Source organism: Homo sapiens, chromosome 11 (assembly GCF_000001405.40).
Source record: "Homo sapiens chromosome 11, GRCh38.p14 Primary Assembly".
Taxonomy (NCBI): Eukaryota; Metazoa; Chordata; class Mammalia; order Primates; family Hominidae; genus Homo; species Homo sapiens.
Window position 1 is genome coordinate 87,618,368 of NC_000011.10, and position 24,367 is coordinate 87,642,734.

Here is a 24,367-nt window from a genome sequence, read left to right on the forward strand (position 1 = left end):
TCAATTCCCACCTATGAGTGAGAATATGCGGTGTTTGGTTTTTTGTTCTTGCGATAGTTTACTGAGAATGATGATTTCCAATTTCATCCATGTCCCTACAAAGGACATGAACTCATCATTTTTTATGGCTGCATAGTACTCCATGGTGTATATGTGCCACATTTTCTTAATCCAGTCTATCATTGTTGGACATTTGGGTTGGTTCCAAGTCTTTGCTATCGTGAATAGTGCCGCAATAAACATACGTGTGCATGTGTCTTTATAGCAGCATGGTTTATAGCCCTTTGGGTATATACCCACTAATGGGATGGCTGGGTCAAATGGTATTTCTAGTTCTAGATCCCTGAGGAATCGTCACACTGACTTCCACAATGGTTGAACTAGTTTACAGTCCCACCAACAGTGTAAAAGTGTTCCTATTTCTCCACATCCTCTCCAGCACCTGTTGTTTCCGGACTTTTTAATGATTGCCATTCTAACTGGTGTGAGATGGTATCTCATTGCCGTTTTGATTTGCATTTCTCTGATGGCCAGTGATGATGAGCATTTTTTCACGTGTCTTTTGGCTGCATAAATGTCTTCTTTTGAGAAGTGTGTGTTCATGTCCTTCGTCCACTTTTTGATGGGGTTGTTTGTTTTTTTCTTGTAAATTTGTTTGAGTTCATTGTAGCTTCTGGATATTAGCCCTTTGTCAGATGAGTAGGTTGCGAAAACTTTCTCCCATTTTGTAGGTTGCCTATTCACTCTGATGGTAGTTTCTTTTGCTGTGCAGAAGCTCTTTAGTTTAATTAGCTCCCATTTGTCAATTTTGTCTTTTGTTGCCATTGTTTTTGGTGTTTTAGACATGAAGTCCTTGCCCATGTCTATGTCCTGAATGGTAATGCCTAGGTTTTCTTCTAGGGTTTTTATGGTTTTAGGTCTAACGTTTAAGTCTTTAATCCATCTTGAATTGATTTTTGTATAAGGTGTAAGGAAGAGATCCAGTTTCAGCTTTCTACATATGGCTAGCCAGTTTTCCCAGCACCATTTATTAAATAGGGAATCCTTTCCCCATTGCTTGTTTTTCTCAGGTTTGCCAAAGATCAGATAGTTGTAGATATGCGGCGTTATTTCTGAGGTCTCTGTTCTGTTCCATTGGTCTATATCTCTGTTTTGGTACCAGTACCATGCTGTTTTGGTTACTGTAGCCTTGTAGTATAATTTGAAGTCAGGTAGTGTGATGCCTCCAGCTTTGTTCTTTTGGCTTAGGATTGACTTGGCGATGCGGGCTCCTTTTTGGTTCCATATGAACTTTAAAGTAGTTTTTTCCAATTCTGTGAAGAAAGGCATTGGTAGCTTGAGGGGGATGGCATTGAATCTGTAAATTACCTTGGGCAGTATGGCCATTTTCATGGTATTGATTCTTCCTACCCATGAGCATGGAATGTTCTTCCATTTATTTGTATCCTCTTTTATTTTGTTGAGCAGTGGTTTGTAGTTCTCCTTGAAGAGGTCCTTCATATCCCCTGGAAGTTGGATTCCTAGGTATTTTATTCTCTTTGAAGCAATTGTGAATGGGAGTTCACTCATGATTTGGCTCTCTGTTTGTCTGTTATTGGTGTATAAGAATGCTTGTGATTTTTGCACATTGATTTTGTATCCTGAGACTTTGCTGAAGTTGCTTATCAGCTTGAGATTTTGGGCTGAGACAATGGGGTTTTCTAGATATACAATCCTGTCATCTGCAAACAGGGACAATTTGACTTCCTCTTTTCCTAATTGAATACCCTTTATTTCCTTCTCCTGCCTAATTGCCCTGGCCAGAACTTCCAACACTGTGTTCAATAGGAGTGGTGAGAAGGGGCATCACTGTTTTATGCCAGTTTTCAAAGGGAATGCTTCCAGTTTTTGCCCATGCAGTATGATATTGGCTGTGGGTTTGTCATAGATAGCTCTTATTATTTTGAAATACGTCCCATCAATACCTAATTTATTGAGAGCTTTTAGCATGAAGCGTTGTTGAATTTTGTCAAAGGCTTTTTCTGCATCTATTGAGATAATCATGTGGTTTTTGTCTTTGGCTCTGTTTATATACTGGATTACATTTATTGATTTGCGTTTATTGAACCAGCCTTGCATCCCAGGGATGAAGCCCACTTGATCATGGTGGATAAGCTTTTTGATGTGCTGCTGGATTCATTTTGCCAGTATTTTATTGAGGATTTTTGCATCAATGTTCATCAAGGATATTGGTCTAAAATTCTCTTTTTCTGTTGTGTCTCTGCCTGGCTTTGGTATCAGAATGATGCTGGCCTCATAAAATGAGTTAGGGAGGATTCCCTCTTTTTCTATTGATTGGAATAGTTTCAGAAGGAATGGTACCAGTTCCTCCTTGTACCTCTGGTAGAATTCGGCTGTGAATCCATCTGGTCCTGGACTCTTTTTGGTTGGTAAGCTATTGATTATTGCCACAATTTCAGATCCTGTTATTGGTCTATTCAGAGATTAAATTTCTTCCTGGTTTAGTCTTGGGAGAGTGTATGTGTCCAGGAATTTATCCATTTCTTCTAGATTTTCTAGTTTATTTGTGTAGAGGTGTTTGTAGTATTCTCTGATGGTAGTTTGTATTTCTGTGGGATCGGTGGTGATATCCCCTTTATCATTTTTTATTGCGTCTATTTGATTCTTCTCTCTTTTTTTCTTTATTAGTCTTGCTAGCAGGCTATCAATTTTGTTGATCCTTTCAAAAAACCAGCTCCTGGATTCATTGATTTTTTGAAGGGTTTTTGTGTCTCTATTTCCTTCAGTTCTGCTCTGATTTTAGTTATTTCTTGCCTTCTGCTAGCTTTTGAATGTGTTTGCTCTTGCTTTTCTAGTTCTTTTAATTGTGATGTTAGGGTGTCAATTTTGGATCTTTCCTGCTTTGTCTTGTGGGCATTTAGTGCTATGAATTTTCCTCTACACACTGCTTTGAATGCATCCCAGAAATTCTGGTATGTTGTGTCTTTGTTCTGGTTGGTTTCAAAGAACATCTTTATTTCTGCCTTCATTTCGTTATGTACCCAGTAGTCATTCAGGAGCAGGTTGTTCAGTTTCCATGTAGTTGAGTGGTTTTGAGTGAGATTCTTAATCCTGAGTTCTAGTCTGATTGCACTGTGGTCTGAGAGATAGTTTGTTATAATTTCTGTTCTTTTACATTTGCTGAGGAGAGCTTTACTTCCAACTATGTGGTCAATTTTGGAATAGGTGTGGTGTGGTGCTGAAAAAAATGTATATTCTGTTGATTTGGGGTGGAGAGTTCTGTAGATGTCTATTAGGTCTGCTTGGTGCAGAGCTGAGTTCAATCCCTGGGTATCCTTGTTGACTTTCTGTCTTGTTGATCTGTCTAATGTTGACAGTGGGGTAGTATTAAAGTCTCCCATTATTAATGTGTGGGAGTCTAAGTCTCTTTGTAGGTCACTCAGGACTGACTTTATGAATCTTGATGCTCCTGTATTGGGTGCATATATATTTAGGATAGTTAGCTCTTCTTGTTCAATTGATCCCTTTACCATTATGTAATGGCCTTCTTTGTCTCTTTTGATCTTTGTTGGTTTAAAGTCTGTTTCATCGGAGACTAGAATTGCAACCCCTGCCTTTTTTTGTTTTCCATTTGCTTGGTAGATCTTCCTCTATCCTTTTATTTTGAGCCTATCTGTGTCTCTGCAGGTGAGATGGGTTTCCTGAATACAGCACACTGATGGGTCTTGACTCTTTATCCAATTTGCCAGTCTGTGTCTTTTAATTGGAGCATTTAGTCCATTTACATTTAAAGTTAATATTGTTATGTGTGAATTTGATCCTGTAATTATGATGTTAGCTGGTTATTTTGCTCATTAGTTGATGCAGTTTCTTCCTAGTCTCGATGGTCTTTACATTTTTGTATGATTTTGCAGTGGCTGGTACCGGTTGTTCCTTTCCCTATGTAGCGCTTCCTTCAGGAGCTCTTTTAGGGCAGGCCTGGTGGTGACAAAATCTCTCAGCATTTGCTTGTCTGTAAAGTATTTTATTTCTCTTTCACTTATGAAGCTTAGTTTGGCTGGATATGAAATTCTGGGTTGAAAATTCTTTTCTTTAAGAATGTTGAATATTGGTCCCCACTCTCTTCTGGCTTGTAGGGTTTCTGCCGAGAGATCTGCTGTTAGTCTGATGGGCTTCCCTTTGTGGGTAACTCGACCTTTCTCTCTGGCTGCCCTTAACATTTTTTCCTTCATTTCAACTTTGGTGAATCTGACAATTATGTGTCTTGGAGTTGCTCTTCTCGGGAAGTATCTTTGTGGCGTTCTCTGTATTTCCTGAATCTGAACATTGGCCTGCCTAGCTAGATTGGGGAAGTTCTCCTGGATAATATCCTGCAGCGTGTTTTCCAACTTGGTTCCATTCTCCCCATCACTTTCAGGTACACCAATCAGATGTAGATTTGGTCTTTTCAGATAGTCCCATATTTCTTGGAGGCTTTGCTCATTTTATTCTTTTTTCTCTAAACTTCCCTTCTCGCTTCATTTCATTGATTTCGTCTTCCATTGCTGATACCCTTTCTTCCAGTTGATCGCATTGGCTCCTGAGGCTTCTGCATTCTTCACGTAGTTCTCGAGCCTTGATTTTCAGCTCCATCAGCTCCTTTAAGCACTTCTGTGTATTGGTTATTCTAGTTATACATTCTTCTAAATTTTTTTCAAAGTTTTCAACTTGTTTGCCTTTCGTTTGAATGTCCTCCCGTAGCTCAGAGTAATTTGATCATCTGAAGCCTTCTTCTCTCAGCTCGTCAAAGTCATTCTCCATCCAGCTTTGTTCCGTTGCTGGTGAGGAACTGCGTTCCTTTGGAGGAGGAGACGTGCTCTGCTTTTTAGAGTTTCCAGTTTTTCTGTTCTGTTTTTTCCCCATCTTTGTGGTTTTATCTACTTTTGGTCTTTGACAATGGTGATGTACAGATGGGTTTTTGGTGTGGATGTCCTTTCTGTTTGTTAGTTTTCCTTCTAACAGACAGGACCCTCAGCTGCAGGTCTGTTGGAATACCCTGCTGTATGAGGTGTCAGTGTGCCCCTGCTGGGGGGTGCCTCCCAGTTAGGCTGCTCGGGGGTCAGAGGTCAGAGACCCACTTGAGGCAGTCTGCCTGTTCTCACATCTCCAGCTGTGTGCTGGGAGAACCACTGCTCTCTTCAAAGCTGTCAGACAGGGACATTTAAGTCTGCAGAGGTTACTGCTGTCTTTTTGTTTGTCTGTGCCCTGCCCCCAGAGGTGGAGCCTACAGAGGCAGGCAGGCCTCCTTGAGCTGTGGTGGGCTCCACCCAGTTCCAGCTACCCGGCTGCTTTGTTTACCTAAGCAAGCCTGGGCAATGGCGGGCGCCCCTCCCCCAGCCTCGCTGCCGCCTTGCAGTTTGATCTCAGACTGCTGTGCTAGCAATCAGCGAGACTCCGTGGGCGTAGGACCCTCCGAGCTAGCTGCGGGATATAATCTCGTGGTGCACCGTTTTTTAAGGCCATCAGAAAAGCGCAGTATTTGGGTGGGAGTGACCTGATTTTCCAGGTGCTGTCTGTCACCCCTTTCTTTGACCTGGAAAGGGAACTCCCTGACCACTTGTGCTTCCCAAGTGAGGCAATGCCTCGCCCTGCTTCGGCTTGTGCACCGTGTGCTGCACCCACTGACCTGTGCCTACTGTCTGGCACTCTCTAGTGAGATGAACCCGGTACCTCAGATGGAAATGCAGAAATCACCCGTCTTCTGTGTCGCTCACGCTGGGAGCTGTAGACCGGAGCCTCATGCTGGGAGCTGTAGACCTGAGCTGTTCCTATTCGGCCATCTTGGCTCCTCCCGCTGTCATTTTTCCTTCCTGACATTTTATTTCTATATTTAACACATATTTTTTGAGCTCATAGTCTGTGCCAGGTGGTAAGCAAGTGAATGTGTAGAGAGACATTGTAATTCAAGTGAGCGATGGTAGTAATTTGTACTAGATCATGGGTAAGACTGAAAGAACTGAACAGATTTTAAGGATACCATACAAGGAAAATGTGTGATTGATTTTGTATGGGGAATAAGGGTGGGAGAGAGCCTAAGGATGACTCCTAGGTTTCAGTTCTGCCCAAGGAGGAACTCTTGGAAGACCAAGTTTGGAGATTCGAGCCTCTTGAGTTTGAGAGGTCTTTGAGACACCCTTCTCAGCCCTCAGGTCTCAGATCATTTGTCACCAGTTTGTCTTCTTTTCATTTTCAGACTTTAAGTATAACAATTTATATATATATACATATATATATTATTAAAAAATAATCTCAACTTTTAGATTCAGAGAGCAGTGACCACTTCTTGAATTCTTTCTCTAAGTGCTCATCATCCTTGTTTTGGCCCAAATGTTGCCAAGTCCCTAGACCCTTATCTCTATTTTTTACATGATGTGAGGCATATTAGACTTTTTTCTGCACAAAGTGGAGGCTTAGCAATTATGCCATGAATGCATAATGAGGAACAAATAACTCCTGGTGAGCTCTTCTAGTGATGTTTCAGAGGTGAGGTTCTGATAACCCCTCTTGAAATGGCCTTAGGATTTGAACATCAGGTCTATCAAATCAACTCTAACAGTCTTGATTCAAATTCACAGGCAGGGCTGTATCATCCGGGGTCCAAACGGGAGAGGAACACATTTAAATCAGGGTTTAAATAGGCACTATTTACAAAGATGTGGGAGAATGTAGGAAAACACAAGGGACAGTGCAGTGAAGCAGCAAACAGCAGTAGAGCTGTTTCCTCTCTCAGCTCTGAAGGGTGGTGGAGAGTCTAGCAGAGATGCTCGCCTTGAGGGGAATCCTGATCTTTGTTGGTGGGAATAACTGGCCTGAGGTGACCTTACAGCAAGGGAGCCAGGTGCCCTGCCTCACTCTTTCTTCTCCCTCTTCTCCCTCTGCTTCCCTACTGGGGCTCCCCACTTAGCTAAATCCAACAGGAAGCCAGAGGGACTTCTTGATGTAATCCCTACACATTGGCCTTCAGGGTGGAGAAGGCTGGAGAGTGACTTAGAGGTGAAATGGAGGATGTCTAGTTCAGCACAAAAGATAACATTTAGGCTTGACCTGAAGGACTGAATATAGCGTTGCCCAGTGAGTCCAGACAAGAAATAGAGTTTAATAAGCTTATATTAATAGACAATACTAGGGAGTTTTGATGAATAATTCCTAGATGAGAGACAACAAGTTGTTAAGGATAGAGCACTAGAGAAAGAAATTTTTTTTTGGTCATTCGGTGGCTACGGACTGCAATCTGTTTTCACAGCAAATGGGAATATTATTTTCTTACTTCATATGGCTGGGGAAAGGATCAAAGTAGAAAATATGCATAAAATTCTCTTCTAAGTTGTAAAGCATTAGGTACAATTCATTATGTAAAGCAGAAAAGACACTGGAAGTGCCAGTTACTAGCTGATCATGCCGACTAATTTTCTTTGCCCCAGTTTGCTTATCAGCAAAATAAGATGATAATACATATATCATGAAGCTTTTTATGAAGATTAAGTAATATACATATAACACAAACTCTAACACATAATACTCACACAATAATAGATTATTATTTTGTACCCATTTCTCTTTTTCGCCACTTCTGTCACTAAGTTCCCTGAATGTAACTGTAATATACACATCTCTGTATTTCCCCTAGAAACTATTGTAAGGCTCCCTCCACCCCATCATGGCCTTTAGAAAAAAAGTGACCTTATTTGGTACTTACAAAATGTTGGGACCTAGGGAACACTTGGATTGCACTTGTAAGCACCATAGACATCGTGGAAATATTTTATAGAAAACTTCTAGGACCTCCTATTGCTCAAGTCAACTGGGGCAAGACCATTAAGGTTTGAGATATTCCTATAAATGTCATCATGTCTGTAATTTATGAGTTATATAGCTAAGGGTAAGAATTCTTCATGCTAAGTAGATAACAAGGTAGCAGAGGAGTTTGGCAGGGGTAAAGAGGAGAGAGATCTGCATTTCTCTGATAGTCAGCGATGGTGAGCATTTTTTCATGTGTGTTTTGGCTGCATAAATGTCTTCTTTTGAGAAGTGTCTGTTCATGTCCTTCACCCACTTTTTGATAGGGTTGTTTGTTTTTTTCTTGTAAATTTGTTTGTGTTCATTGTAGATTCTGGATATTAGTCCTGTGTCAGATGAGTAGGTTGCGAAAATTTTCTCCCATTTTGTAGGTTGCCTGTTCACTCTGATGATAGTTTCTTTTACTGTGCAGAAGCTCTTTAGTTTAGTTAGATTCCATTACCATCTCACACCAGTTAGAATGGCAATCATTAAAAAGTCAGGAAACAACAGATGCTGGAGAGGATGTGGAGAAATAGGAACACTTTTACACTGTTGGTGGGACTGTAAACTAGTTCAACCATTGTGGAAGTCAGTGTAGCGATTCCTCAGGGATCGCTAGAAATACCCTAGAAATACCCTAGAAATACCATTTGACCCAGCCATCCCATTAGTGGGTATATACCCAAAGGGCTATAAATCATGCTGCTATAAAAACACATGCACACGTATGTTTATTGCGGCACTATTCACGATAGCAAAGACTTGGAACCAACCCAAATGTCCAACAATGATAGACTGGATTAAGAAAATGTGGCACACATACACCATGGAATACTATGCAGCCATAAAAAATGATGAGTTCATGTCCTTTGTAGGGACATGGATGAAATTGGAAATCATCATTCTCAGTAAACTATCGCAAGAACAAAAAACCAAACACCGCATATTCTCACTCATAGGTGGGAATTGAACAATGAGAACACATGGACACAGGAAGGGGAACATCACACTCTGGGGACTGTTGTGGGGTTGGGGGAGAGGGGAGGGATAGCATTAGGAGATATACCTAATGCTAAATGACGAGTTAATGGGTGCAGCACACCAGTATGGCACATGTATACATATGTAACTAACCTGCACATTGTGCACATGTACCCTAAAGCTTAAAGTATAATAAAATAAAATAAAATGAAATAAAATAAAATAAAAAAGAGGAGAGAGATCACATGGATTTTTCTCACTGAAATTGAAAAAGGCAAGTAATACATTTCTAAGAAATAATGAAGCAGAACCAGAACCTGGACCACATGAGGTGAGTAAGGAATTTATTTAAGGTGCAAAATTTAATGTGCCAAAAAACTAAGTAAAAAATATAAATAATATTTAATGCAATATTTTAAAGAATGAAATCAACACATTATGACCCAGTGGCTAGCTCCTGTGTTTGTAAGTAAAATTCTTCTGTAAACGGGGCCGGGATTAGGATGAGACAAGTGAGCCAGGGTTATAAAGTACAGGGCAGATTCTGCCTTTATTTAAAATTTTGATATTTTTGTCCATCATATAGCTGTTTGCATTAATTTTAATAATTTTTAAAGTATTATATTAAAGTATTATTTATCTTGATTGCTGAGTTTTTGGTGGGCCTTAAATTTTGTACCCGTGTTGAGTGCCTCCAATGCTTCACCCTAGTTCTGGTCCAGAGCAGAACAGAACTGTCCTTTATTGAGTGTCTTTTATATGCCAGGAATTTAACATGCACTATCTTATTTAGTCCTCTCTATACCCCGTGAGATAACTATTGCTATCTTAATTCTCTACATGAGAAAACAAGCCATGAGACTTCTCATGTGAGTTGCTTGCCAAAGGCCTCACAGCTAAAATGGCACGTCTGTCTCCAAAGCTCATTCTCTCCCCACTCCTAAAGCATGATTGCCTCTAACTGCTTCTCTTACATTGAAGCCACTCACACCCAAGCCTGGGTCTCTGCATAGGTGGTATCTGTAACTGACAACTTTCACTCTTTTCCATGTGTGCCTTTGCCAGACATTACCACATGGCCAGAGAAGACTTTATATGCTTTACACTGCTTCCTACTTTTCAGCAGCTAGAAGGAAAATACCAGATCCTTATAGCTGCAATATCCTGCCTGCCAAAGGGGGAAAAGCGAGGCAGCTGTTCCTGCAAGTACATGCTGTGCCTGTTATCCAAATGGGCATCAGCAGGCTGTGTGCTGGAGCTCAACAGGAATGTGGGTTTTATGGTTTGAAAGCTGATTAGACTCTGAGGAGGCCTATCTTATAGTTGGTCCATTTAACTTTTTCAGAGTTCAACGGTGCTTCAGTGCCCACGTTAGTCCCACTGGTTAGAATACGGCTGAAGGATCTGCCTTTGCCCAAGGATATACCAAACTCCCTGCAGTGGCAATAGTAAGAAAAGCATGGATGGCTTCCAGTTTAAAATTTATTTTATTATCCCCTTAAAAAAAGGCACTGGAAAAACAAAGTGTCTGAGAGAGTTAGAGACATCTTATGGCAAGAATATAGGAGCACTTTTAATTTTTACTACTTTTGAGATTGATAAACTGATTAATAATTGTCATAATTATGTGTCACCTTATAAAACAGAACAGTGCCAGTGATTTGAAAGAGGTGGAATCCAAGCTTATTTTCTGTTTCACTGTAGATCAGAGACCCAGGTCTCTATGAACCATAAAATTATGTTCTGCCCTTCTTCTGTATCTTCTATATGGGTGCTATTTTGAGATGGTACAAAGAATGTCCCCTTCTGCTCTCATTTTTTGATCACTCTTTCTAAACTAACAATATTCAAAAAACATTATCTTAGAAAATAAGAACAGACTGATGCTGAAAGCAGTGTACACATTAGGTATCCAGTAAATATTTACTGAATGAATGAATAAATGATTCCAAGAGAGGTTGTTAGCCCTGCAGTAAAGCCCAGCAGATGGAGGCAGGGACTGGCAGAACACTCATGGTAACACAAGTTGAATGTGTATATACATATATATATATATATGAATATGTACATATATATACATATATATACATATATATATATGTATTCCAAGTTATGGGTATAGAAGGAATGCAGATTTGATCCCATCTTAGTTCAGCAGAAGACTAGAATTAAGCAGACCAGAAACAAGAATTGTGATTGGATCTGTGATCCTGATGATAATGTAAGAAGTAGATTCCACTGGCACTTGGTTACGAATGAAGCCAAGCACCACTCAGGTATCTTGTCCGAAGATAAACACAAATCTGTGCAAAAAGCAACAACAAAAACCAAGCAACAAACAAGCAACCCTCCATCCATGTTTATAAAAACAGGGAAAGAGGAAATTAACCTAAATACTCAGAGGAAGAGTATACCACTGTAAATGACTTATTACAGAAATCCCTAAAACATTTGGAAAATTTGAAAAGGTCGGTGTGATGTAGTAAGACAAGACCTTTATGAAACAGAAGCAGAAAGCTGAAAGGAAGAATCTGTTAAGATGCCACATAAGATGAGAATGACTTGTAATGGCAATGGAGAGGGATTAAGAAGATAAAGAATAAAAATAAAAGTAAAATTAGGTCAAAAAATTAAAGTGCATACTGGAGGGATGTGTATTTCTTTTTTTTAATTTTATTTATTTTATCATTATTATACTTTAAGTTTTAGGGTACATGTGCACAATGTGCTGATTAGTTGCATATGTATACATGTGCCATGCTGGTGTGCTGCACCCATTAACTCATCATTTAGCATTAGGTATATCTCCTACTGCTATCCCTCCCCCCTCCCCCCACCCCACAACAGTCCCCAGAGTGTGATGTTCCCCTTCCTGTGTCCATGTGTTCTCATTGTTCAATTCCTATCTATGAGTGAGAACATGCGGTGTTTGGTTTTTTGTCCCTGTGATAGTTTACTGAGAATGATGATTTCCAATTTCATCCATGTCCCTACAAAGGACATGAACTCATCATTTTTTATGGCTGCATAGTATTCCATGGTGTATATGTGCCACATTTTCTTAATCCAGTCTATCATTGTTGGACATTTGGGTTGGTTCCAAGTCTTTGCTATCATGAATAGTGCTGCAATAAACATACGTGTGCATGTGTCTTTATAGCAGCATGATTTATAGTCCTTTGGGTATATACCCAGTAATGGGATAGCTGGGTCAAATGGTATTTCTAGTTCTAGATCCCTGAGGAATCGCCACACTGACTTCCACAATGGTTGAACTAGTTTACAGTCCCACCAACAGTGTAAAAGTGTTCCTATTTCTCCACATCCTCTCCAGCATCTGTTGTTTCCTGACTTTTTAATGACTGCCATTCTAACTGGTGTGAGATGGTATCTCATTGTGGTTTTGATTTGCATTTCTCTGATGGCCAGTGATGGTGAGCATTTTTTCATGTGTTTTTTGGCTGCATAAATGTCTTCTTTTGAGAAGTGTCTGTTCATATACTTTGCCCACTTTTTGATGGGGTTGTTTGTTTTTTTCTTGTAAATTTGTTTGAGTTCATTGTAGATTCTTGATATTAGCCCTTTGTCAGATGAGTAGGTTGCAAAATTTTTCTCCCATGTTGTAGGTTGCCTGTTCACTCTGACGGTAGTTTCTTTTGCTGTGCAGAAGCTCTTTAGTTTAATTAGATCCCATTTGTCAATTTTGGCTTTTGTTGCCATTGCTTTTGGTGTTTTAGACATGAAGTCCTTGCCCATGCCTATGTCCTGAATGGTAATGCCTAGGTTTTCTTCTAGGGTTGTTATGGTTTTAGGTCTAACGTTTAAGTCTTTAATCCATCTTGAATTAATTTTTGTATAAGGTGTAAGGAAGGGATCCAGTTTCAGCTTTCTACATATGGCTAGCCAGTTTTCCCAGCACCATTTATTAAGTAGGGAATCCTTTCCCCATTGCTTGTTTTTCTCAGGTTTGTTTAAGATCAGATAGCTGTAGATATGCGGCGTTATTTCTGAGGACTCTGTTCTGTTCCATTGATCTATATCTCTGTTTTGGTACCAGTACCATGCTGTTTTGGTTACTGTAGCCTTGTAGTATAGTTTGAAGTCAGGTAGCGTGATGCCTCCAGCTTTGTTCTTTTGGCTTAGGATTGACTTGGCAATGTGGGCTCTTTTTTGGTTCCGTATGAACTTTAAAGTAGTTTTTTCCAATTCTGTGAAGAAAGTCATTGGTAGCTTGATGGGGATGGCATTGAATCTATAAATTACCTTGGGCATTATGGCCATTTTCACGATATTGATTCTTCCTACCCATGAGCATGGAATGTTCTTCCATTTGTTTGTATCCTCTTTTATTTCATTGAGCAGTGGTTTGTAGTTCTCCTTGAAGAGGTCCTTCACGTCCCTTGTAAGTTGGATTCCTAAGTATTTTATTCTTTTTGAAGCAATTGTGAATGGGAGTTCACTCATAATTTGGCTCTCTGTTTGTCTGTTTCTTAAAGAAATATGAAAGAAAGACACAAGCAAAAATTAAGGAATTGCATAAGAGAACAGAATTGAGCCTATGAAGTATTTTTAAAATACTTAAATTTCAACTTTTCAAAGCCTGAAAAGCAAAAGCGAAAACCCAAATGGAGAAGTTTTTAATGAAAAAGACAGAAGGGTTCAAATTTTAGAAAAAAAACACTCTATGTAACTTCATGACAATAAATTGGAAAGCATCGGTGAAATGGATGAATTTTACCTGAGAAAACTGTATTGTCTTGACTCAAAAACAAGTAGAAAACTCAAGTAGATCATTAACCAAGATCTAAATGAATAAAAGTTATCAAAAAATTACATCCAAAAAGGTTTATTCAGCTTAAAACTTTGAAAAAAATACTCTTTTGCAATATACTTTTATTAGATAAACTGTTTAAAAGCTTAGAAAAATATGAGAAAATATCCAAATCATTTTATAAAGGTAGCATATGGTTATTCACAAGTCTCACAAACATAGCACATGCAAAAAAGAGAAAAACTTTTTTGAAAGAACTTTATAAAAACTAACAGGTTGAATTTGAATGCATGTTTAGCAAATAATCTGTCAGTAGCATTATCTCAAAAATACAAGATGATTTAATTGCAGATCACTTATAAGTAAATTCTTCGTATTAATATTTGATAGAACAAAGTAGGTGATAATTTCAATAAATGAAGAGATGGCACTGATAAAATTTAACATCTAAAAGTTTTAGAAAACAGAGGATATAAGAAAGCTATCAGCAATAGACAAAAATTACCTACCTTAAACCAACAATATGTTTCACTCTTTGATGATTTATTAAGCAAATATTTATTGAGCAACTACTGTTTACCAGGTACTTTTTAGCTTCTGGGGATATACCAGTGAAAATAACAGATAAACACTCTGTCTTAAATTGAAACCTAAATTGGAATGAGATGACATTGAATACAAAAGAAAAATCAGTAAAATATTTAGCATGTTTATATTTTAAGTGTAACAGTAAAAGTAAAACATGAAAGGTGAAATTGGGAATGTCTGGACACTGCAGTTATAGATTTGGTGGCTGAGGAAAACCTCATTGAAAGCTTTATTGGAGTAAAATTTACAGGAGGTGAGGGAGTGAGCCTTTTGGGCATCTGTAGAAAATGCATTTGAGGCAGAAGGAATAAAATATGTGAAAACTGGAGCTGAGCAAGCTGGGGTGAGAGCAGAATGAAATGACATCAGAAAAGTAATGGAGATAGGGAACAGATCATGTGTGGACTCGTAGACCATTGGAATGATTTTGACTCCTACTTCCAGTTAAATAGACCACTGCAGAAGGCTGAGATAGGATAACTCTGACAGCTGTGTGGAGATTAGACTAATACGGGCATGGGCAAAAACAGGGCAACTCATAGGGACTTTTGCAGAGATCCAAGCATTGTATGACATGGACTTGGACCAGGTGGTAGCAATGGTGATGGTGAGAAGCCATTAGTTTTGAGATATATTTTGAACAGAAAGCCAAAAAGAATTTCTGACGGATGGGGTATGGGGTAGGAGAAGAGACATTGATAATGATTGTAAAGTTTGTACAACTAGAGGGCTGGAATTAATTGCTGTTTTCTAAGATGAGGAAAGAAATGGGTGCAGCTTGTTTAGGGGATAATATCCAGAACTCCGTTTTGGAAACCTTAGGTATGCTATAGTTATTAGACCTCAAGAAGAGACATGTGTAGTTGATCATACACATCTGGAGTTCAGAAGAGAGGTCTGGGTTAGAGGTTAAAAATATTGAATTTTCAGCATATTGGTGTCACTTAAACAATGACATGATATAGTCAAAGTAGGATGAAACTTTAGAGAAATATTCATTTCAATTCTGGTTTTACAGAGACAAAATAAGCATGTCCTCACAACTTTATTAGTAGGATTTTGGAAGTAGTCTCAAAAGACATTAAAGGTGTAACTATCGGTTAGCAATAAAAAATTGTAAACAATACTATTTGTTTCTGTCACAGCCTATACTCTTGGACTCTTTTTTTTAAACCTCTCTGTCTCTTCAATCTCCTTTGAGACTCATCTCATCGGTCTATTGAATATATATACAAGGGTTTCTCAGGATTATCTTTCAATTTTCTTTGTTTTCAGAGATGTATAGTAGGGTTGCATTGAGGTGGTGGAGTCATCACTACTGTTTCCACACAAGGAACTATGAGCTTTAAAATTAGGCAGGTCCAGGTCAAAAGTCCGACTCTGCAATTTGTCAGTTTTGAGCTCAGTTATTCTCTTAGCCCTGTGTTCCTGATCTGAACCATAATATATCTGTAGTGGCAGTAATGCTATATATCTCTCAGGGGTGTTTTGAAGATTAAACGAGACAGTGTATGGAAAGTAAATGGGTAGGCTCTGGGTGAAAGATCTGTACATGTTTATTAAGTAAGGGTATAAATGACAAATTGTCCTAAACTTGAAGGAGATAGTCCTGTTGATATATACTTACATGTTCACTGGATGATAACAGAGTATATTACTCAAGATGTAATACGGAAAATCTCCAACCTGTGTTCTCTATTTAAAATACAGTCTTTTTTCTTTCTCCTAGAGCATCTGCCTTCCTTTTTTGAATTTTAGAGCTTACATTCTTAGTGAGGATTTCCTAGACATCTCTCTCTGCTGGGACATAGTCAAAGCCTGAAAACAAAAGAAGAAATCTCTGGAGAGAAAAGGAGCTGTCGAGCCTGCTGCCTGAGGGAAACCTTGCCTTTTTCTTGACATGTTATGGTTAACAATGCCTGTGAGTCTCATTTCATATTGTGAGTCTCCTGAGCAGTAGCAGTTTCTCCCAATGTTTCAGGATTTAAATTGGGCTGTCTGTACCACATGGTTTATAGATGAGTCCGTGGTTTATAACACAAAGGCATAATTGGAAACAGAACAATTTGAATCTTATTGGTTGGCTTTTTGCCCAGGCTCTGATAGTGTTGAGAATGAAGGGAGGTAGCAAAATCTCACTGGAAATAGAGGCTGCACATTCATTTATTCGTTCAACAAACACCATCTGGCCAAGAGCAGGTTACCAAACTATTACTCTCAATACAGCTTGTGGCTTCAAGGGCTTTAGAAGACAGATTTCCTTTGGCACATTCAACCTGAGGCTTATGGTTGGGGATAGCAGAAGTATTTGCTATTCTCTGGTTGCTGTCCCATTCCTGCCTGAGCGCTGACAATGGCATAGTTGGTGCTTGCCCCTTGCCCTCATTCCTGTAACTCTAAGTAGAGACATTAGGAAGTTCATCAGTATATAATATGCTTGCTATTCAGCCCAAATTACACATTGCATAGTGATGTCTCTTAATACTCATTCCACGTGCTAATATTAGTGACTTGGATTTGGAGCAGCAATGAATTTGCGGTGATGAATTCGAAGTAGTGACGAAGAAAAATGGGCACTTAGCTTCATGTGTATGAATCTGTGTGCATAATTTTGCTTGTTTCTTTCTTTTTAGATTTCACATATGAATGTCTGTGTAATCTCAAGTAGACAGATGCTTTTCATGAACCTGAGTCATTTCCTTAAAATTTTTGGTACTTCCTATAGTTACCTACTGTGTTTGAGTATCTTCAGCTGCATGCTTCATACATGGTATATGCAGAAATACCAATTTAATGAACATCGTCAATGTTTAAGATCAAATATTGATTAAATAAGAAAAGAGAGAAGGGAAAGAGAAGGAAATAAGATGTGTATAGGGAATTAGGTGGATAGGGTGGGAGGAAGTGATGGCAGAAACTCTCAAGTAGTCTGTGAGTGGGTAGAGAAGGAGATTGATTCTCCTAGTGTTTCTCAGTCATATCTCAGACTGCTAAGGTTATGAAACTCAGTACTATGGAAGAGAAGTATATTTCTCAAGGAGCTGAGATTCGTATACACCTATCATTTCTGCTCAAAGTTTAGGATTCTAAGATTCTTAGATATTAAGAGGCCGCGTTACATAATATTAAGATGAGACTTTCAAGAGGACATTTTCCCCATTAATGTTCCAATAATGGCGTTCTGAGCATCTAAAAAGATCTACAGCCCCTGTGGAGTTTTGAGCATCTGGAATGGTCTGTATCCCCTCATGCATAAATGATGTTCAGTAGTTCTTTTTGGATGGGTGGTCAGGGGTTCTGAAGGGGTTGTGGTAGACGTTAAAATGCTTTAAAACAACTTTAAGTGTTACATTGAATCAGGTGACTTAGGTAGTTACCAGTACTTAATGATAGCCCACCACTATTTGCTGAACACCCATCACTGTGTGCCAAACACTACCTATCACACAAGTGTTCCATGTAAGTGCTACAGCAACCTGATCAGTTAAGACAGTTTCTAGATGAAGAATATGAGGTTTAGTAAAGTTAAGTGTCCATTGTCAGAAATGCAGTAAATTATAGAGCTAGGAAGACTCTATCTTCTACATTGTGCCATCTCTTATATTTCCTTAGCCTGGGAATCACATCAAGCTGCCTCTGTGCTTGTTAATGAACCAGAATGGACTGTTGGTTAGGGGCAGATTTAAAGACATTTCCATGCACACTTCCATCGTCATTCTGCTGCATTAAACTAGCTATCATTGATGTACTAGACAGTGTGCTAAGGACTTAATATGAATTATTGCATTTTATCCTTATAAGTGCTACTTCTACATTCATTATATGGGGAAGAAAAACCTCCAACTTTATGCTGAGAGGGAAGTAAAATTTGATTTTTAATTATAGCTAAAAAGTGAACAAAAACCTGTTGGAAGACAGTTCTCCATGGAGCTTATGTTTCTGTTCATGTAGTCAGCAGAGGCATGGCTGCCTTTGTTCTGGATGATCTTGTCAAGGATGTTTGTATAGTGAACAGCTTTGGAAGACAGAGACAGTATTTACCTCTGGAGCAAAGGCAAGAATACTTAATGTTTAGGATAATAAAAGAAGATAGAGTCTTCCTTTGGAGCATAGAGCAGGCATGCTTACTATGTAAAAGATTTGGGTTCCCCAAGCTCAGATTTCCTCTCCTGTAACACAACCCACTGTATGTACAGGTGTCAAGAGACCTCAGCCCTTGAGCATTGTCACTTGGAAAACTGACAAAAGATGTTCTGTCTACTGCTATAGCTGTAAAAATCTCTACTTGGTCTCTGATACTTTGTCTTATAGATTATGCCAGCATCCATAAAACTGGCAAGCGAACTTACTAGCTTGCAAGTAGAGTAAAAATCTCAGCTCCTTTATAGCTCCTAACAGAACGTAGAATCAAATTCAAGTCAGGCTTCCAAACCCATATTATTTACCACTGTACTTTTGTGCTAGAAGTTGTGTGTTTGGAGGTAAAGTTACAGAAGTGGAATAAAGTCATCTTGCCTCCTCCCTCCTCATGGAACCATCTTTAAAGTCAAATTAGTTTTTTGGCTGCGGTTGGGGAGAAGACAGTTTAAACTTTATCTTAAAGCCATCTCTGTTTCTGTTTTTCTGTCCTTATGCCATTTTTAATTGTTTTGGACTCTGACAGTGAGCTCGCCCTTCAATAACTAGATGAGGTGTGGAGAAAGGAGTCTATGTGTCTGCTGGCTCTGTATGGATAAGATAGGGACTTTATCTGGGGTCAGGGCAGAAAAAATAATAGATAACCTTTCACTTTGTTGTCAATTTCACTTTTCTGCATAACACAAAGGGAGGGATGGGTCTAAATTAAAGTCATTGGCTTCTCATGCCCATTACTTTACAGTCTGATAAACCAGTAGTTAAAGTCTGAACTTGTCCTGTTAGCTGAATTTACCAGTGATACCTTCCATATGTATACTTTATTTTTTTACAATTTGCAAATTACAAAAAAGCAATAGTTGTCTACTTAATCATAGTAATCATTTTGAGAGATAGAAAAATTATGCTCTAAGGTTAAGTAACTTGCCCAGAGTTACACAGTGCCAGAATTAGAACTTACGTCTAAATCTACTGAATTTCTGCTCAGTGTCTTCTCTGTAACAATCTCTCTTACTGAATTCTTTAATACTAGCCCTCATGCCCTTTATAAGGTTGTCCATGCTTTACTAAGAAATCAGCCCTCAGCTAACCTCAAATGAGCAGCTATGAAGATAATTTTATTCTAAAGGGAATTGATTGAAACCTCATCTCTTCAATGGCCCAAACTAAAGGAGAGCATGGAGGTAGAACTTGGAGGTCAGGGACCCCACAGTAAGCATTGCATATATACTGATGGAACCACACATTAAATACATTTCTCTCTATAGAGTTATGTATACCATCTCTGTCTCCTATCTTTGTATTGTTAAGATTGGCACGTATTTTATTGGCAATTTTATTCCTGCCACATTAGAATGTTGTCAGATAATTTTCAGAACAAATTATCTCTAGATGTATATCTTGAGAAGCTTTCTTTTTTCATCTTTCTTTAATTTCCTCAAAAATTTACTATATATGGTGTGAAAAGTACTGTGCTAGTTGTTGAGGGAACTGTAATGATAAATAACAAGTAATCCCTTTCCTTGAGTACTTTACATTTCAAAGGCAATTTCAGATATATACTCAACTAGCAACAACTCAAAGAAGAATGAAATAGTGTTGTAGAGAAAAGTGTAAATCACTGTATCAGTGCAGAGAAATGTTAAATGATGTACAATTAGTGTTACTGGTAACAGTTTTGTGAAGCAGATGCTTCTGAACTGAGTTTTCTTGGATGAGTAGAATTTTGGTAATTACAGAAAGAAAAGAGCCTATTCCTGGCAGAAGAAACAGGATAGATGTGTGGATAGAAAATGAAAGTGAATGTTATGTTTCAGGGAAAGGCAGAAGTACAGGATTCATGGGCAAATATAATGCGTAATGAAGATGGAGGAGTAGGATAGGGCTAGAGTGAAGAGCTTTGTTGTTGTTGCTCTTTGTTTGTTTTGAGACAGAGTCTTGCTCTGTCACCCAGGTTGGAGTGCAGTGGCGTGATGATGGCTCACAGCAGCTTCAACCTCTTGGATTCAAGTGATCCTCTCACCTCAGCCTCCCAAGTAGTTGGGACTACAGGTGTGCCCTACCACACCTAACTTTTTTTTTTTTTTGTAGATGCAGGGTCTCCTTATGATGCCCAAGCAATTCTCCTGCATTGGCCTCCCAAAGTGCTGGGATTACAGGTGTGAGGCATCATGCCTGGCGTTAAAGAGTGAAGAGCTTTGAATGCTGTTTAAAGACACTAGATATTAACTTGTAGGCTATGAGGAGTCATTGAAGTTTTTTTGGGAAGAGGTATAGCATGATTCATACTCTTTATTTTATGTTCCCTGTTAACACTGTGACACTACTAATTACATGAATTGGCCTCATTTTGCAGAAGCAGAAACTAAAATTTAGAAAACATAAGTTATTTTTCTCATGTCATAATAGTGGTGACAAAGTAAAGACCTAGCCAAGTCATCTTCCTCCTACCCTGCAGTTACCCAACATAGAAAATGACAACTTTAGTAGGACTTTTCATTACTATTAAAACATAAAAACAGAGTGTTGAAATAAATTACTTAGTATAATTGCAGAAAGAATTATTAGCAGTCTCTTTTCATTTTCTAATACAGGGTTTCTCAAATTTTAGGGTTCAAATAAAACCTTGGAATTTTGATTCAGTAGGTCTGGAAAGGCACCTGAGATTCTGAATTTCTAATAAGATTCCTAGTGATCGTGATGCCTTTGATCTTTGAACCAAGTTTTTGTAGCAAAGTTTTATAAAACGTTTCTTGTCCGTTAGCCCTACTTTAAAGATACACATGAACTTAAATTCAACATGTTGTCCTCAAATACACTCAATATCCTTTCCCTTTCATGTGTTACTCCAGCTGGCTTGTGTCTCTGAATTGTGAAGGACAATCGAAGTTGAATATTTTGGAAAAGCAACTAACAGCATCTGACCCATTCTAGGGACACAGGATTTCTTATTTATGATCATTCTTTTTCTCTACAACTTATATAACCCACTCTCTTCTTTCACTGACTCTTTCCCATTGGAAATATGAGTTAAGTGTTTTAGGAATGAAAGCAGTAAAAAATTAGGATATCTTTTTCTTCAAAGAAAGTTAAAATTTAAAGAGCCTTATGAATTGCCATTTCTAAGCTAAGCTCAGTTGGTGATTTGGAAGTTCAGAAATTAAGCTATGATGCTTCAGGCAGCTTCTACCTTGTAATATCTATGCCCTCTAAAAGCAGCCCTCAGCCCTCTGCAGGTTTCTTCTCCCTGTATCATCTCTATGAATTCTGATGGGCAGGGCTGTCAGCTGACTGTGCTGACAACATCATAGCTCTCAGCCTAGTGTTCTCTTTACCACTAGCTTTCAGTTGTTTTGCATTCCCCTTTCTCCTCCTTTTTCTCTTTATGCTTTGAAGCCTGCCTCATTATTTTTCTTTGATCTCTTGTTTCCCTAACTTCTTTCTATTGCCTTTTTGTTAGTTGTCATGGGAATAGTATTAGCTGGGAGGGCTGAGTCGGTGAGGCTATAGGCAGACCTAGTTAGTATTCACAGACCTATAGAATGTCTGTTGGACCTGAAGAAATCTGAGTGATCTCTTGGTCAATCTCTCATGAGACATAGAACAAAAAATCCTGAGACTCAGAGAGAAGCAGACTTTTCCAGAGAATCCAAGCCTCCTGATTTTATTAGACACATAAACTCTTCCCTCCTCATAGCCACTTTTACTCACTGATGTGGAAAAGGGAACGAACCCATGGCCTTAGAGCCCTTATTGTGGTTCACAAAACTAGATATTTTACATTTGCCATTCTAAGCCTAACAAAAATCCTATTAATTACTGCCTCTGTTTCACAGGTGAAGAAACTAAGTTTCAGAGAGGGCAAATAAATTTTTAAAGCCCATTCAGCTAATCAGTGGAGAACCAAAATTAAATACAATATTTTTAATAGAAAAAATAAAGCCTATGAATGCAAGCATTAAAAAAAAAAAAAAAAAGAGAAAACCCATGTCCTTTCCACCATGGTGGACTATAAAGCAGGTTATAATACTATTTTCAGTAGCCTAATCTTTTTTGCTTAATATATTAAATAATTCTCTTGAATTCTGTATTCTTTTGGGAAATGGGGCCAAAGATTTTGGTGTGTTTCATTTTTGGCACCTGTCAAGATGTACGGATACTCAAATCCATAGAACATATTACTTTCATCCCTCTGTCACATTACTGCCCAAGCCAACACATTGTGGCAAGGCAAACTTATTCTGAGCCTAGCAGGAGGTGTTGTGTTGAACAAGGACTTCGTGTTTGTTAGAGAAGGCCTCTGCCCTCAAACATTATATACTCCAGTTGAGTCAAGAAAATTAAAACACAAGAAAATATATGTTGGTGTGCACTCTCCTATAACCCTTATATAATTTGATGAGGAAACTTTGTGCCTGGGAAGCAATGATATCTGTGTGTTTGGCCTATAATGATCTTCTATCTGGTCTTTCTCCTGCTCAGCATAAGACTGTGAGGTCTGACAGAGAACTAGTACTAGGGAGGCTAACAGCCAAATGAAGGTTCTGTAGATCAAACAGGGCTGGTAGGGTTCCTGCCAGGTATTCAGCTGTGACGCTACAGAAGGTACACCTTACAAATAGACTTTAAACAAGAACTACTATATATCTGCCCTAACAAAGCCTAAAAACAAGACTTTCCAGGACAAAACTGATCAGGCAGTGAAATAACTACTTTCTAAAACAAAATTCAACACTTTACAGGAAGACAAACAAACAAAGTGCAGATTCTTAGCATTGCAGTATCAATGTCCTGCAAACAACAAATTACTATCTATATGAAGAATAAGGAAATGTGTCCCAAGATTAGGAGAAAAAAGTTAATATAAAGAGACTCAGATATAACACAGACATTTAAAAGAGTAAACATAACTTTAAAATAACTATTATAAATATATTAAAGGATCCCATAGACAAAGTGTGTGAATTGTAGGACTGTCCACAGAGACATATATGGAAATTGAAAATTGAGTGAAATAGTCTGAATACTACCAAAGGATGAAAAAAAAGTATTAAAGAGCAAACTAATCCAAAATGTGTGAAGGAGGAAAATGGCAAAGATAAGAGTAGAGATTAATGAAGAAGAAAATGAATGAACTGTAGAAAATATCAACAAAAGCAAAAGTTGAGCCATTAAAAAGATCAACAAAATTGACAAGTTTCCAGCTAGCTGAATCATGAAAAAATGAGAAAACAAACAAATTTGGTAATTTAGTGCATCTAAATGAAAGTGTTGGCATCACTAGAAATTCTATACAGGCAATGAGTAGATAGTAAGGTACTAGCATAAATAGAATGAACAACTGTAGGCCAATAATTGGATAACTTGGATAAAATTGATGAATCCCTGAAAGATACAAATTCCATAACTGGCATGAAAAGAAATTTAAAACTTGCCTTACATATCATTAAATAAGTTGATTTATAGTTAATAAACTTCCCACCAAGATAATGCTAGGGTAATATAGATTCACTAGTAAACTCTATCAAATGTATTAGAAAAATTAACACCAATCTTTAATATTAATCAATTATTTAAAATATTCAGCATCCAGTAATGATAAAACTAGCAAACTAGAAACTAAAGGAAGCTTCCTTAACTAGATAAAAGTTATGTATGTAAAACCTACAGCTAATATAATATTTAATGATGAAATATATAAAACTTTGAAAATGTAAGGATGTTTACTATTTTTATTGATATACAATTATACATATTTTGATACATGCATATAATGCATAATGTTTAAATCAGGATAATTAGGATATCCATCATCTCAAACATTTATCATCTCATGTTGGGAACATTTCAAATATTCTGATCTAGCTATTTTGAAATATACACTAGATTATGGTTAACTATAGTCACCCTACTGTGCTGTCGAACACTAGAACTTACTCCTTCTAATTAACTGTATGCTTGTACCCATTAACCAATCTTCATTTCCACTCCTCTTTCTCAGCCCCTCGTAGCTATCATTCTAATCTCTACCTGCATGAGACCAAGTTTTTTATATTCCTCATGTGAGCAAGAACA

The 24,367-nt window shown here is 38.1% G+C and overlaps 1 long non-coding RNA gene across 3 annotated transcripts in view, besides 1 other annotated feature; it reads left to right on the forward strand.

The window, feature by feature from the left end:
• LOC107984361 (uncharacterized) overlaps nucleotides 1–24,367 on the forward strand; it is a 552,293-nt gene that overhangs the window by 258,615 nt on the left and 269,311 nt on the right. The window lies entirely within an intron of this gene.
• Nucleotides 21,398–21,941: an enhancer, noted in NCBI's record as "NANOG hESC enhancer chr11:87350657-87351200 (GRCh37/hg19 assembly coordinates)". NCBI's record gives its function as "activates a minimal SCP1, AML or CMV promoter by ChIP-STARR-seq in naive H9 embryonic stem cells {active_cell/tissue: H9 hESC(naive)}" and the evidence as "EXISTENCE:reporter gene assay evidence [ECO:0000049][PMID:30033119]".